Here is a 14,150-nt window from a genome sequence, read left to right on the forward strand (position 1 = left end):
CAACAGTGCTTTTATGATCTGAACCTATTATCACCTGTTCCGTTTGCACATAAAATGGTTCTAAACAGAATGAAAGCAGAAGTTGGGTTCTATGTGGAGTAATTTTATAATAAAGAGGAATGTAGTGTTTAAAAACTGTCATCTTGAGTGATATGTGTTTGCGTGTGGGCATGCATGTCCATGCACACATATAGATGTATATATGTAGAAGAGCTTGCATACCCAGGATCACTTGCCAACTCCCTTTGGAGTAACATTATAGCCATGTGCATAAAAAAATACAAAAGAACCATTTTCTACTTGTGTTCAATCAGGAATTAGAAAATATTTTTAGATTTATAGGATGGATTTCTAAAATTTAAAGTGATCTCTTAACTTATCACGGCCATCACCTTCCTGAGTCCTCCACCCCAGAGTATATGCTGTGTGTTTGTGTGTACATAGGTATCTGTTAATAATACTGTGTCAGCAGGGATATTATGACAGGGATAATCTTATTGAACTCTAAATATGTCTAAAGAACTGTAGCTTCCTTCTAAAAAAGTACATTTAAATATTTTCATAAAAGTGAAGAGAATAGTATGATAACCTCATGTACTTATCTTCATTTTACAACTTTTTGCTAATTTTGAAACTAGCAGTTTGATTCATTTCATGCTTCTCAGCATAATAGGAAAATAGTCTGCCCTGGAAATGAGAGTTTGTGCTGTGTTTAGATTATCACTGAAATAAGACTAGTTAATGTGAAGTTCTGGTAAATGTGCAGTTTAGAGAGCAACAGGATAACTTCTTTTTCTTAATTAGCAAACTTACAGAAAAGTTGTAAGTACAGTAAAGAGAAGTTTTTTCTCAACTGACGCTAAGTTGCTAACATAATTCTCCACCACCAGGGAATTTAGTGTATTTCCTACACACAAGGACGTTCTTGTACCTAACCACAATACAACCTTGCAATCAGAAAATGAACACTGGAATTATTCCCACTATCTAATCCTCATACCTCATTCAAGATTCACTGGTTATAAACACTCTTTCTAGCAGAAGAACCAGTTTAGGATTATATATCACATTTAGTTCTTATGTTTTATTAGTTTCCTTCAATCTGGAGAAAAATTTCTCAATCTTTTTCACTTTCATGGCCTTGACGTTTATGAAGATTATAGGCCAGTTTTGTAAAATGTCCCTCAATTTGGGATTGTCTGATATTTCCTCATTATTAGATTCAGCTTATGTGAATTTGTCAGAAATATCACAGAAATGATACTGTGCCCATCTCCTTGCCTCCTATCAGGAAGCATGTGATGATTTGTCACATTACTGATGATGTTCACTTTGATCTCTTAATTAAGATGGACTCCTCTGGGCTCACCCATTGTAGACTTACTCTTTTCCCTGTTGTAATTAATACATATTTTGTGAAAAGGTACTTAAGTCTCTGAAAATATCTTGTTCCTTATCAGACTTTCAGCTTTTTGATTTGTTAATTTATATTACTATGGATTCCTCGTTTCATTCTATTTAATAGGTTATAATTCATTGCTAACATTATTTGTTTTGTTGCTCAGATTTTCCAAGATTTGACCAATAGGACCTTTTTCAAGCTGATTTTTGTGTCCATTTGATATTTCCTCACCATTCTTTGGGTTCTTTCTTACCTTCTGGCACAAGACAGTCTAAGCTTTTCTTGCATTGAACCAAGCACCTTTTAAGAAAAGCTTTAAGGTCTGAAGTGTGATTTTGGCTTTATATGGTGAAAAATATAGATGGCTTCTGTGGAGACAGTTCATTCAGCCTAATTTTATGACATTTACAGTTTCAACTAGCATTTATTAAGCATTTCTGAACCAGGAAGTAGGGAGATCTATAATGCATGAGGGTAATTAAATATTCTAGTTATCAGATGTGAGCCAGATAAATTCATGTAGTATCCATAACAGGATGTGTCTCTTAAGAAAAAGAACTACACTTGAGTTTTCCTAAAAGTTAGGAGGATTATATAAGTTATCCTGCTGTTTTAGAAGCTAGAGTTTCTGTTCCTGGAGTATATTCACTATCCAGTCATTAAGAAGTAAAATATCCTGTGCCTCCAAGGTAGAGGCATATATATGCAATAGAAAATGGATGTGCAATCCTTCGTCTCAAAATATTGGATATCTAAATGAGTAACCCAAGTAAAATAAGCATGCAGTCCTTTAATATAACTCTGGAATAAAACATGGAGTTGTATTTTCGCTCTATTTTTACCTTTTACAAACTTCTTAGCTTCTTTAAAACTTACATATTGTTACCTGTAAAGTGAGAATGACAACTACTTATATGGATCTTAATAAGATTATATTAACTTGCACAGGACTTAGTGTGTAGAAAGTGCTCAGTACACCTAAGTTTCTTTCCATATTATGGATATGATGAGAGTGAGAAGTTAGTCTAAGATAGTGTGCATATAAACTTGAATTTCTCATCTTTTAAAATCATCCTTTATTTCAAAACTCATGTGTTTTAAAAAGATAAAATGTATCTCACAGATTAGTTTTAAGGAATAAGCGAAATAATATATGAAGAATACTTTATAAATTGCAATTATAATGCTGTTTGCTTTTAATTTGTATTAAGGAAAAAATATTTTTATATATTGAGGAAAGTGTTGAGATTTGATTTAAATTAATCAAGAGAGGCATTAAAAATAAGCAAAAGACATGAACAGACACTTCTCAAAAGAAGGCAAGTGGCCAAAAAACATGAAGAAATGTTCCACATTACTCATCATCTTAGAAATGCAAATCAAAACCACAATGAAATACCATTTCACACCAGTCAGAATGGCCATTATTAAATAGTGAAAAAACCACAGATGCTAGCAAGGCTGTGGAGAAAAGGGAACTCTTATATACGTTGGTGGGAATGTAAATTAGTTCAGCCACTGTGGAAAGTAGTTTGGAGATTTCTCAAAGAACTTAAAACAGAACTACTATTCAACCCAGCAATCCTATTACTGAGTATATATCCCCCCAAACCCAAATCTGTCAAAAAGGAACATGCACTTACATGTTCACTGCAGTGCTATTCAGAAAAGCAAAGACGTGGAATCAGCCTTGGTACCCATTGACGGTGGATTGGATAAAGAAAATACACGTATACCACAGAATATTATGCAGCTATAAAAAATAATGAAATCATGTCCTTTGCAGCAACATGGATGCAGCTGGAGGCCCTTATCTGAAGCAAATTAATGCAGGAGCAGAAAACCAAATACCACATGTTCTCACTTCCAGTAGGAGTTAAACACTAGATACTTGTGGACATAAAGATGGCAACAGTAGAAACTGGGGACTACTAGATAGGGGAGAGATAGAAAGGGGTAAAGGTTGAAAAACTGACTTTTGGGTGACAGGATCATTCATACCCCAAACCTCAGCAACAAGCAATATACCCCAGGCAACAAACACACACATGTACCCCCACAAGCTAAAATGAAAGTTGGGAAAAAAAAAAAAAGGAACACTGAAAATGCTAATTTAAATCTTACACATTGGGTATAGGTTCCATAACTACTTTGTGTAATCATTTGGCCTTCTGTTATGTTTCATGTTTTATAAGTAAATATGGCAATCGAGTATAATCTAAATTATATGTTGGAGCTTAGGAAGTATCACATAATCAATTTTAAGCCCATTGCTTCTTTCAGATCTATAAACACTAGCAAGGAAAATGGTTTATTTTCTTCTTCCAAATAGCAATAAGAATAAATAGTAATGCCATAGCAACTGTAGACCATAGTGTTAATGTTAGTATGAGTGTCAGACTTCAGCTTTGCCTGTTCCTATTGATAAATGGAAATACTAATGGTATGAATAGTATAATTTTGAATATACTACATTTTAGGTTAGAGGCCTAAGAGCTAGTCTTAGTTTATTCTTAAAAATTATTTGTCATTAGCTAATAAAATATTCAGAGGGAATATACTATTGCTTATATAAGAAATCAGATTTCTGATTATTTATAATTTCTGCCTTGGTTTCTTTTCGTAGTATCAAAGATATATGAACTAATGACATATATGGTACATATAGGAATATCACTTTCAACTAGAAGAATTTTTCTGTGGCTAATTCAGTTTTCTTATTCATAGACAAAGTTAGAATTTGGAGATTATCTTGGAGATTTCTCATTTTACAGGTGGAATGTGAGGAACAGGGAAGTTGTTACTGCATGATATAAAATATGGTACATGGTTTAGGAGTTAATAGTCTTAGTATCTATTTTTATTTTATAATCTGTGTTGTTTATACTGCCTCTGAAAGTGTGATGAACTTTGGTTTTTAGTATTGGGATCAGTACGGGTTGTAGGAAGAACATTAAATTGAAACAGTCTAGAAACTTGGGTTCTACTCAAGTTTATTTCCTTTTTTTTTTTTTTTTTTTTAGTAAATTTTGGTTTGCTTTTTCATAGGTCTGGTTAAACTAATTTCATCTTTATCTTTTTAGGTTGATTATTCTAGACCTTCAGCAAAACACAGGAAAATAGCTACCTCATTTCGTGATACTTCTCTCAAAGACGTTTTAGTGCTAGCATGCTCTCTTTTAAAAGAGGTAAGTTATTTGATAATTCAACTTCCTAGTTAGAATATTTGGGAAATTTTAAGAGTTTCAAAAGAATTTCAGTTGAATTTTCCCCCCAGTTTTGCCTTTTAAAGAATTATTGTGGACAGACTTAAGTATAGTAAATTTGCATAAGTCTGTAAGCAGTTCCAAAAAATTCACTTTTACTCACTGGGCATATGATAAGGTGAAATCCAAAGGGAATCTAATAACTTATCTTCAGGTAGTAGTTTCATTGCCTTCCCAGTGTAGATTCTTTAATTATAGAAGCTACTTGAGTATTAGTTTCTTTATCTGCTTGCTTATATTTTGATAGGATGCAGATGAAAAATGAAATGACAATATTTTCCTGATTCATCAACTATCAAAATTTATTCATAGTTTAGCCAAGATCGTTGACTTTAACAACTTCTTTGGGAAATAGTATTTCCCCATTTGCTACTTAGTGCCCTATTGAATATTAGTGATAGCATGATTCATAATGATACTGTATTCTCTTGTATAATATAGGGACTCCATCATGCTATTCAAGCCTGATAATTGGTGTAATATAGCATTGCTGAAAGTATGCTTCAATAAGCACTAGTTTCCATTTATTTCAATTCTTTGGTTTAGTAACATGACAACTGCCACACTATGTCAGACCCAAAGACCTTCTATTATCTTAAAATTTTTCTTTTAACACAGAAAATTTTAACATACACAAAAGTAGATAGAATAGTATAACCAGTTAACCTGTCAGCCAGTTAAACAGTAGCAACTCATGGCCAATCTTGTTTTCTCTCTATTCCTGCCTACCCACTTCTTTTTATATTATTCTTCAAGCAGAATCCCAAATTTCATATAATTTCCTCTATAAATATTTCACAATATATCTAAAAGGTATAATTGTTTTTGGTTTGTGTGAGAATGGGCATTATCTTGGAAATAGGATTGTTCTCCAGAAGCTTTGTGAGTGTCCTCCAACATTCAGAGTTCTGATTGCCTTTATTAGCTGAATGTGATTCTTTTATGCATGAAGTTAACCCAGTTTTTCTTGAAGAAGGTAACATTACTTCCTTATATATGGAACAGTATAACTTTGTAAACTCCTTTATTAGTTTTCATTTGACATTGAAAAATTATTTTAATTCATGAAGTGTAAATTTATTGATGTATTTCGCAGTGTTTTCTTTGATTTTGTACTTTTTTCAGGTGTTTGCCAAACCTTTAAATCTTCAGGATCAATGTCAGCAAAATCTGGTAATGCAGGTCTTGAAACTGGTCCTTAACTGCCTTAACTTTGACTTCATTGGCAGTTCAGCAGATGAATCTGCAGATGATCTTTGCACGGTGCAGATTCCAACAACTTGGAGAACAAGTAAGAAAAAACTTTGGTATGAAGGGTCATCAACATAAAGGCACAGTATTAAGCAATATAGTTTCTGTATGTATAGTTATCTTTTTGCCAGGAATTAAAAAAATAGCTCAAATGGATTTGTAACCTGAAGTAGCTGCTGATAGCTAATATTGAAATGTTTTCTGTAATTCATATTATAGTAACTTCTATATTTTGATTTAGGAAAAAAGAAAAAACAAGGACTGCACTAGAGCTAAATGGAGAGCAGATTTGGGAGGAAAGTCAAGAGCTATGATTTGAAACTTTCAGACTTTCAGATAAACAGAGTGGGACAGGATCCCACTCTGTTTATGATCATTTTCAGGTGCTGGTCAAACCTTTAAATCTTCAGGATCAGTGTTAGCAAAATCTGGTAATGAAGGTCTTGAAACTGGTCCTTAACTGCCTTAACTTTGACTTCATTGGCAGTTCAATAGGTGATTCTACAAATGATCTTTGCACAGTGCAGATTTCAACAGCTTGGAGATCAAGTAAGAAAAAAGTTCAGTATGAAGGGTCATCATGAGAAAGAAAAAAGTTTAATATGAAGAGTTGGCAAGAGATGTCAACATATCTTTCAGGGTTATAAAGAGAATGAATTAGATTAAGTGACCTAGAAGAGGAGAGTTGCAACTTGCTTATAGAAAGGGATACCAAGAAAAAGGAAGCTAATTTGTTCTCCCATGTTCCAGAAAAATGGTGGCACCTAAGGTACCTCTGAACTCAGAATTGGGAAATGGGGCTGACGGGGTTTGATAAAAAGTCTGTACTCTGAACAGTTAAACTCTCCAGGATCTTCTCTACCACCTGTGCAGCTAGGTGACTGCCTTTTCCTCCCTTTTCTCTACCTGTGCTACTTCTTTACTTTCCAAGACCAGAGTTTTTTTCCTCAAGAAATAAAATTGGAGAGGCCTCATATTCATGGATACCAGATATAATAGAGGAACAGTATTAATTTTGTGAAAAACTTCTAATATGGAGATCAGAGACTACAACAACAAAGGGGGACTTTGTGTTCTGTATCTTGACTGTGGTGATGGAAACATGAACCAATACATGTAATAAAAAATTTCACAGACTGAAAACACACATCTACACACACATGAGTACATGTAAAACTGGGAAATCTGAATAAGATTGTGGATTTTATCAATGTGAGTTTCCTCGTTGAGATATTATACTGTAGTTTTGCAAGAAATTACCATTGTAGGAAAATGGGTAGGAGTTCACGGGGTCTTTCTGTATTATTTTTTGCAACTGCATGTGAATCTACAATTATCTCAGAAAGTTTAATTTTAAAATGGAGGGTAGTTAATAGCAACAGAGACAAGGTGAAAGTAGAAATAAACTTCAGAAAGATATAAAGAATATGCCCAGAGAGATGTTGAGATAATGCATCCCTGAAACAAGGACAGGATATTGTTCAGAGAATGTTCCAAATTTACAGGACAGTTGTCAAAATAAAACATCCAGTGGAAAAGTTGTAAGACAAAGTTAACCCAATCTCCTAGAATGTAGAACAAAAAAGCAAGGAGATGTTTGATAGGAGGAAAAAAAAACCAAGAAAACTAGAAGATGAAATTAAGGAGGTGTGACGGTTAGGAGTTCTAGAAAGAGAGGATGGAGAAAGAAGGAAATTTGCAAACAGATAGTACCCCAAAATGTTCTGAGTTCTGAAGGGTATGCATTTTTGGATTGAAAGATCCCACCAAGTTCCCAGCATAATGAATGAAAAAAGATATTCACTAAGCTTTATAATCATGACATTTTAGAATAGTAAGGATAAAGAAAAAAATTCTAAAACTTACCAGAAAGAAAAAAGTAAGTCTCCTCCTACAGAGGATTGGGGTCAAGAAGGTATTAGACTTCTCAACAGCAGCACTGAAAGCTAGAAAACAATAGAGAAGTATCTTCAGGCTTCTGAGGGAAAATTGTTTCCAAACTAGACCAAACTTATCAAATCTAAGATAGAATAAAGACATTTTCAGATATGCGAGTCCTTCCAAAATTTATCCCTTATGTACTTGCTCTAAGGAAGCTACTTGATGTACAAGCAAAGAAAGTGGAAGATAATGGAATTTGGGAAATGGGCACTTCAACACAAGATGACAGTGAAAGACATAGAAAGGCTACAGTTGTATAACAAAGTTAAGGAGCAACCAGTTCAAGTTGAAGGCTCTGGGAGGTAGGGGTGGGTGAATGCAAATGATGGGTTATTTGATGCTATTGATGGTGTGGAACATGTTATGAAGAACATTGTGCCAGTCTCTCAGAGCATTTGGAGAGAATTAGTGACAGATACACAACTAAGCACAGAAAAGATGGTATGATTAAGTCCAGCGAGTATTAGAAATGTGATGTAATTACAGCTCAGCCGTTAATATTATTTACATAGTCATAATAAATGTAAACACATAGAATTGATTTAATCACAAATTGTGATAATAGTGGATGGGTTTTTGAGAGGATTGATTGTGGAGAGAGTGGTAGGGGTGGTAGGGTTGTGGCATTCGTGATTAGACAGCTAAAGCGTTACACACTGTAATAGGAATGCAGTTGATGTCTAAAGTAAAACAATCAAATGAAGAAATAGTATACGCTATTATTTGGAAACATGAATGTAACTATAGCTAAGTTGAAAAGCAGTTGGAATGGGATAGGGTACAGTTTTTTTTTTATTGTAAGCTTTTTAGTACTGTTTACTTTTTGATACTGTTTGAATTCTCAATGTTTATATTACTTGAATACAAATGAAAATAGTAAGAAGATTCTCCCAGTTCAAACTGTAGTGCTACATAGAGGAAGTGCTACATGAGGAAGAGCCTGGCTAGTTAATTTCTCTCTGTATTATTTCATCTTTCAAAGGAAAATAGCTAGGAATTAAAAATAGGCCTAACTGGAAGGAATGGCCACATGCAGAGGCCTTGGATTTCTCAGTTTGTGTGATATTGTCTTACTTTGTTAAGATCACTGAATTGAAAGTAATGGTGTTAGAAAATAATTTTTTTTCCCAGTTTTCCTGGAACCAGAAACATTGGATCTTTTCTTCAATTTGTATCATTCACTTCCACCACTACTATCTCAGTTAGTAAGTAAAAGTCATTCGTTATTTCGTTAAAAAATACCTGTGTAAATAAGGGGTGGTATATATTTACTTCAAAAATTCTGTTTATATATTCAATTGAGTTTACTTTTCACAGTAAGTTCTTATATTTTCTGGGATGTATACTGCTTAAACTATTTGTCAAATTTTGTTTGTTTTGTCAACGTTACATTTTATTTCATGGGTGAGCCTAGAACCAGTAACTGTTGATTTAGCTCTTGCCCAGAGCCAGGACAACCTACCAATCCCTAAATACATATTTTTTTCCTACTCAGTTCCCATAGGGCCTAAGTCCAGCAGCTGACCACCACACAAGGACTTTCCCTTCTACTACCCTTCTCTAACTCTTCCTCAACCTTGCCTGGCTCCATGTCTTAGGTTTGACAGGCTGTCCCCTTCAGATCTCTGAATAAGAAATGAAGGGGATCTACTCACTTGAATTGTGTTCATCAAGCCAGTTATTTATTTATTTTTTGAATCAGTGTAAATTCTATTGCATGCTTAAAAAGTTCTTGATACTCTGTAGTTGTATACAACTTTGAGACTCTTAGCTCCATCTTTGCGGAGCCTAAAACAAATCTGTCAAGGTTATTAAAAATTGTAAGTTTAAGTTTAAACTTGTAAAGCTGGGGAGTTCTAATATTGCCATTTTCTGAAAAACATATTGCATATTTAAAGTATATATCAGTGATGTGTTTGTTTAGGTATCTTATTGCCTAAAAGGGAGGAAAGCATTCACAGAAATGTCCTTTTTAAAAAAACATGTCTTCTCTTGAATCTAGAGTTTAAGGTAGTGCTTTTTAAACTGGGTTTCTCAGGGTACCTCATGTTTCCAGTTGGGGCCACAGCCTTCTGTCTTTTAGTCGCAACAGTCTTGCTTTTAGTTGTGTAAAAACCATGGTTTCATGTAATTATGTTTTGGGATAAAACAAAAAAGGTACTAGTGCTTAAAAAATAAAGTAGAAAACAACTGCTTTGAGAGATAGTAATGAACATTTATTGGACATGTCCTATTTATTGTATGATACTTATCTCACTTAATCCTCAAAGTGGCCCTGAAAGGTAAATGATAAAAATCCCTACTATGTAGACCCAGAAAAACAGAAAACAGACCCAGATTGACTAAGTGACTTCCCCCAGGGCAACAAAGAAAATATTGGCATTGAGATTGAAACACAGGTCTTTTTTGCCCCCAACCCCAGGTGTTTTTAGTACGCTAGTGGTTCCTATACTTGTACTTCTGAGTTTCCTAAGGAGTTTTTTGTTTTTGTTTTTGTTTTTAATTTGGGTTTTAGGTTCTCATGGTAGGGGCTGTGGCAAACTGGAGCACATCTAAAAAGGGCGTCATTTGATTTTTGTCTCTTTTCTCACCGTAAAGTACCTACCTTTTCCAGCACCATTTTCAGACCATTTTTTAAGATGCTAATAGATGGTGTAAAATATTCCTTGACCAATTAAATTTGGAATATGCTGGATTACATTACAGGTTCCCCCTGCCCCCCCCAACAGGATACCACGGTACATAATGTGCACTATTTCCCAAACATACTGTACCACAAAACCATATTTTCTTTTTGGTAGAAAACCTGATTCATTAGAAAATGGAACTAGATATCATAAGCAATTGAGAGCCTATTAAATGTATAGCATGTACAGGCCTTGAACTGGCTGATTTTGTTAATGAAAAAACATTAGAGGGGAATACATACAAATAGGAATTTTTATGATGGGGTAGAAGGATTGTGGGTGGTGGGAGTGGTTGATGATATTTAGCTTTTATTAATTTTATGTTCTATAATGCTTTTTATATTGCATTATAATGCATTATATTCTATATTGCATTATCATGCGTTATATTCTATATTGCATTATCATGCGTTATATTCTATATTGCATTATAATGCGTTATATTCTATATTGCATTATAATGCGTTATATTCTATATTGCATTATAATGCGTTATATTCTATATTGCATTATAATGCGTTATATTCTATATTGCATTATAATGCGTTATATTCTATATTGCATTATAATGCGTTATATTCTATATTGCATTATAATGCGTTATATTCTATATTGCATTATAATGCGTTATATTCTATAATGCATTAAAATTAAATTCATTTTAAATGTAAAGACTAGTATTCCTTACATGTGGCCACAGATACTTTGAAAATTGAAATGAAATTTTTTTGGTATTTTTTAGGCACTTTCATGTTTAGTTCAGTTTGCTTCGACAAGAAGGTCCTTATTTAACAGTCCTGAACGTGCCAAGTACCTTGGTAATTTAATTAAGGGAGTAAAAAGGATACTTGAAAACCCTCAGGTATTTATGAAGTAATTTAATACTTAGCATATAGAGATACAGTTTTTCAGCTAAAGGCACATAATAAACTCATCATGAATTTATTATGATTCTGGAAGAAAACATTTAGTATCATATATATCTTCCTTAGAGCTTTTTTTTTTTTTTTTGAGATCAAGTCTTGCTCTGTTGCCCAGGCTGGAGTGCAGTGGTGCAATCTTGGCTCACTGCAACCTCTACCTCCCGGGTTCGAGTGATTCTTCTGCCTCAGCCTCTTGAGTAGCTGGGATTACAGGCTTGCACCCACCACCTCTGCTAATTTTTGTATTTTTAGTGGAGATGGGGTTTCACCATGTTGGGCAGGCTGGTCTCCAACTCCTGACCTCAAATGATCCACCTGCCTCGGCCTCCCAAAGTGCTGGGATTACAGGCATGAGCCACCATGCTCAGCCCTTAGATCTCATTTGTGGTGGAGATGGGTAGTTTTTAAAAATGGATGTTTCCATGGCTGACTTCTGTGTTTCTCTTATTTTTTTCTTTTAGGCAAATATGACTAGAGATTATCTATCTTACTATGCTTCTGTCTTTTACCATTGTATTACATTTCTTTGCTTGCTCTTAAACTACTGAAGTGATTAATTCAGTATGTCCACCTTATGAACTAGAAGACATAATATAAATCTGAATGTTAATATTGGAGCAAGTGGCCTTAAATTATGAAATTATGTTTTCTTGCCCTCTTGTGGACAAGTAAGAGTTTGTAGATTTTAAAATTTTTTCTGCATTAACTTTAGAGCTTCATTGCCAATATTCATTTCAGAGAATTGCAAAGCTGCTATTGAGTAATTTGGGTGCTTACATAAAATATTTTGTTTTACTTTTTATTTTGATTTTGGTTTAAAATATCTGTAAAATACAGATTTTTAAAGGTTAAATGATTTAAGGAGGTTTACCTAATTCTCTTGGTTATTAATAAATTTTGGGGGGTGACATATATCTTCAGTAAGAATGTTCTACAAAAAGCAATTGTTTTTGCATATTCTCAGAAGTGTTTTATGGGTTATGCATTTATTTTATCTTTTCAATGTTAGTATAGTTGTGAAATTTTCTGTTTTGCTGATAAAGAGGATTTTACCAATATACTTTAAAATGTTTAGTTGTTTAACTCACTATCATCAACCAATAGGTGGAAGATAATATGCCGATTCCTGATAATTTCTCTTAAATGATTTTCCAACATCCTTACGTTAATGTTTCATGGCTGTAAAAGTTGGTATGAATATTAGATTGTTTTAGAATCACAAACATGTTTTAAAGATGTATGATTACAAAATTTTTTTGGTTATTTTTCTTTAATAGGTACTATTTTCTATATATTTCATGGAGCTCCTATGAATGAAATTGCTTAGAGACTTTCAGTTTTACAAAGATACTTTTTGAATTCTGTTTCATCCCAGCTACAGTGCATACTAAAACTGTTTTCAAGGAGCTTACAGACAACTGGGCAGACCTTTTTTGTTACTTCCTTTTAATCTATACTCCTCCAAAATTTACCTGGGTGAATTTTGTTTTTGCTCAACTTTAGTTATTTGCTCAACTTTATTCCTTACATTGCAGTAATTTGTTTGAATGACTGTCTAGAGACATGGAGAGACACGGAGTTGCTTGAGGGTACAGTGCCTGTAGATACTCAATAAATATTTGTTTAATTAAGAAAATTTCTGTTATTTGTGTGCTCATACATACCATTTCAGTCTGGTGAGTATTGTTCTTTCCTAGAGTTTACTTTTAATCTTAAGTATTTTCCAGGTCCTTTGTTGACTTCTGTTTAAACCACAGTACACACACACACACACACACACACAACTTTTGTGTACTATAATAGCTTCCCCAAAATTATAATTTAGTCATTGTGATGCAGATCTTCTTCCAAGGCCTCTACTTTGGATTCCTTGTTATTAATCATTGATGACAAAACTAGACCTAGCAAGAATCCCTCTATTTTTTTACATTGTTAACTACCCAATTGACACAGAGTATTTTAAGTACTCATGAAAATTGGGAGACTTAAGATGCTTTGGGGTTTTACTGATTTTATTGTCCATAGGTTGGCTTGTTTTTAAGCCTTTCTTTTTGTCTCATAATTTAGGGTTTGTCTGATCCAGGTAATTATCATGAATTTTGTCGATTTTTGGCTCGTTTAAAGACAAATTATCAGCTGGGAGAATTAGTTATGGTGAAGGAATATCCTGAAGTTATTAGATTGATTGCTAATTTTACCATTACTAGCCTACAGGTAGGTAAAAATATGTAATTATGTTAAACTGTAGCCAGTTTTAAAACAGCTTCTTGGTAAGGGTTGGTGGGGGTATTTGAAAAATATCTATTAATTTGATTACTTTGCTGGAAATGTTCATTACAGGGTTTTAGGTAAAAAAATTCATTGAAATGTATATAATAAAAATTGAGAAGCTATTTAAATATCTAATAATTGAATAATGGCTTGAGAAACTATAATAAAATCTATGTGAAGAAATAAAATTTTTACAGATTATATTATAGAAAAGTTTTTAAAATAATTTTAAGGGAGAGATTATAAAACCATGTTTTTCACAGGATGTCAACTCTGAAAAATATTCATGGAATGATTAGAGGGAAGTAGAGTAATATTTTAATGTTACTCTGGGTGGTAAAATAATAGAGATGTTGGTTTCTTTATACTTTTTTGCATTTATAAATTTGCTATATTATGTGTTCATTAG

The 14,150-nt window shown here is 33.4% G+C and overlaps 1 protein-coding gene across 20 annotated transcripts in view; it reads left to right on the forward strand.

Moving 5' to 3' along the window:
* RANBP17 (RAN binding protein 17) overlaps positions 1–14,150 on the forward strand; it is a 437,998-nt gene that overhangs the window by 43,158 nt on the left and 380,690 nt on the right. For 13 of the 20 annotated variants that reach the window (XR_007058628.1, XR_941108.3, XR_007058630.1 and 10 more), the window contains exons 6-10: positions 4,486–4,590; positions 5,794–5,959; positions 8,992–9,065; positions 11,290–11,409; positions 13,538–13,684. Coding sequence is in view for 16 of the 20 variants with exons in the window: in XM_011534627.2 (XP_011532929.1) it covers positions 4,486–4,590; positions 5,794–5,959; positions 8,992–9,065; positions 11,290–11,409; positions 13,538–13,684 (612 nt within the window). In the remaining 4 variants the exon portion in view is untranslated. Of the gene's footprint in view, positions 1–4,485; positions 4,591–5,793; positions 5,960–8,991; positions 9,066–11,289; positions 11,410–13,537; positions 13,685–14,150 lie in introns of those variants that run through there. The other 7 variants (XM_017009736.2, XM_047417530.1, XM_047417532.1 and 4 more) reach the window with 4 other exon arrangements.

The sequence above is a fragment of the Homo sapiens genome, chromosome 5 (assembly GCF_000001405.40).
Source record: "Homo sapiens chromosome 5, GRCh38.p14 Primary Assembly".
Taxonomy (NCBI): domain Eukaryota; kingdom Metazoa; phylum Chordata; class Mammalia; order Primates; family Hominidae; genus Homo; species Homo sapiens.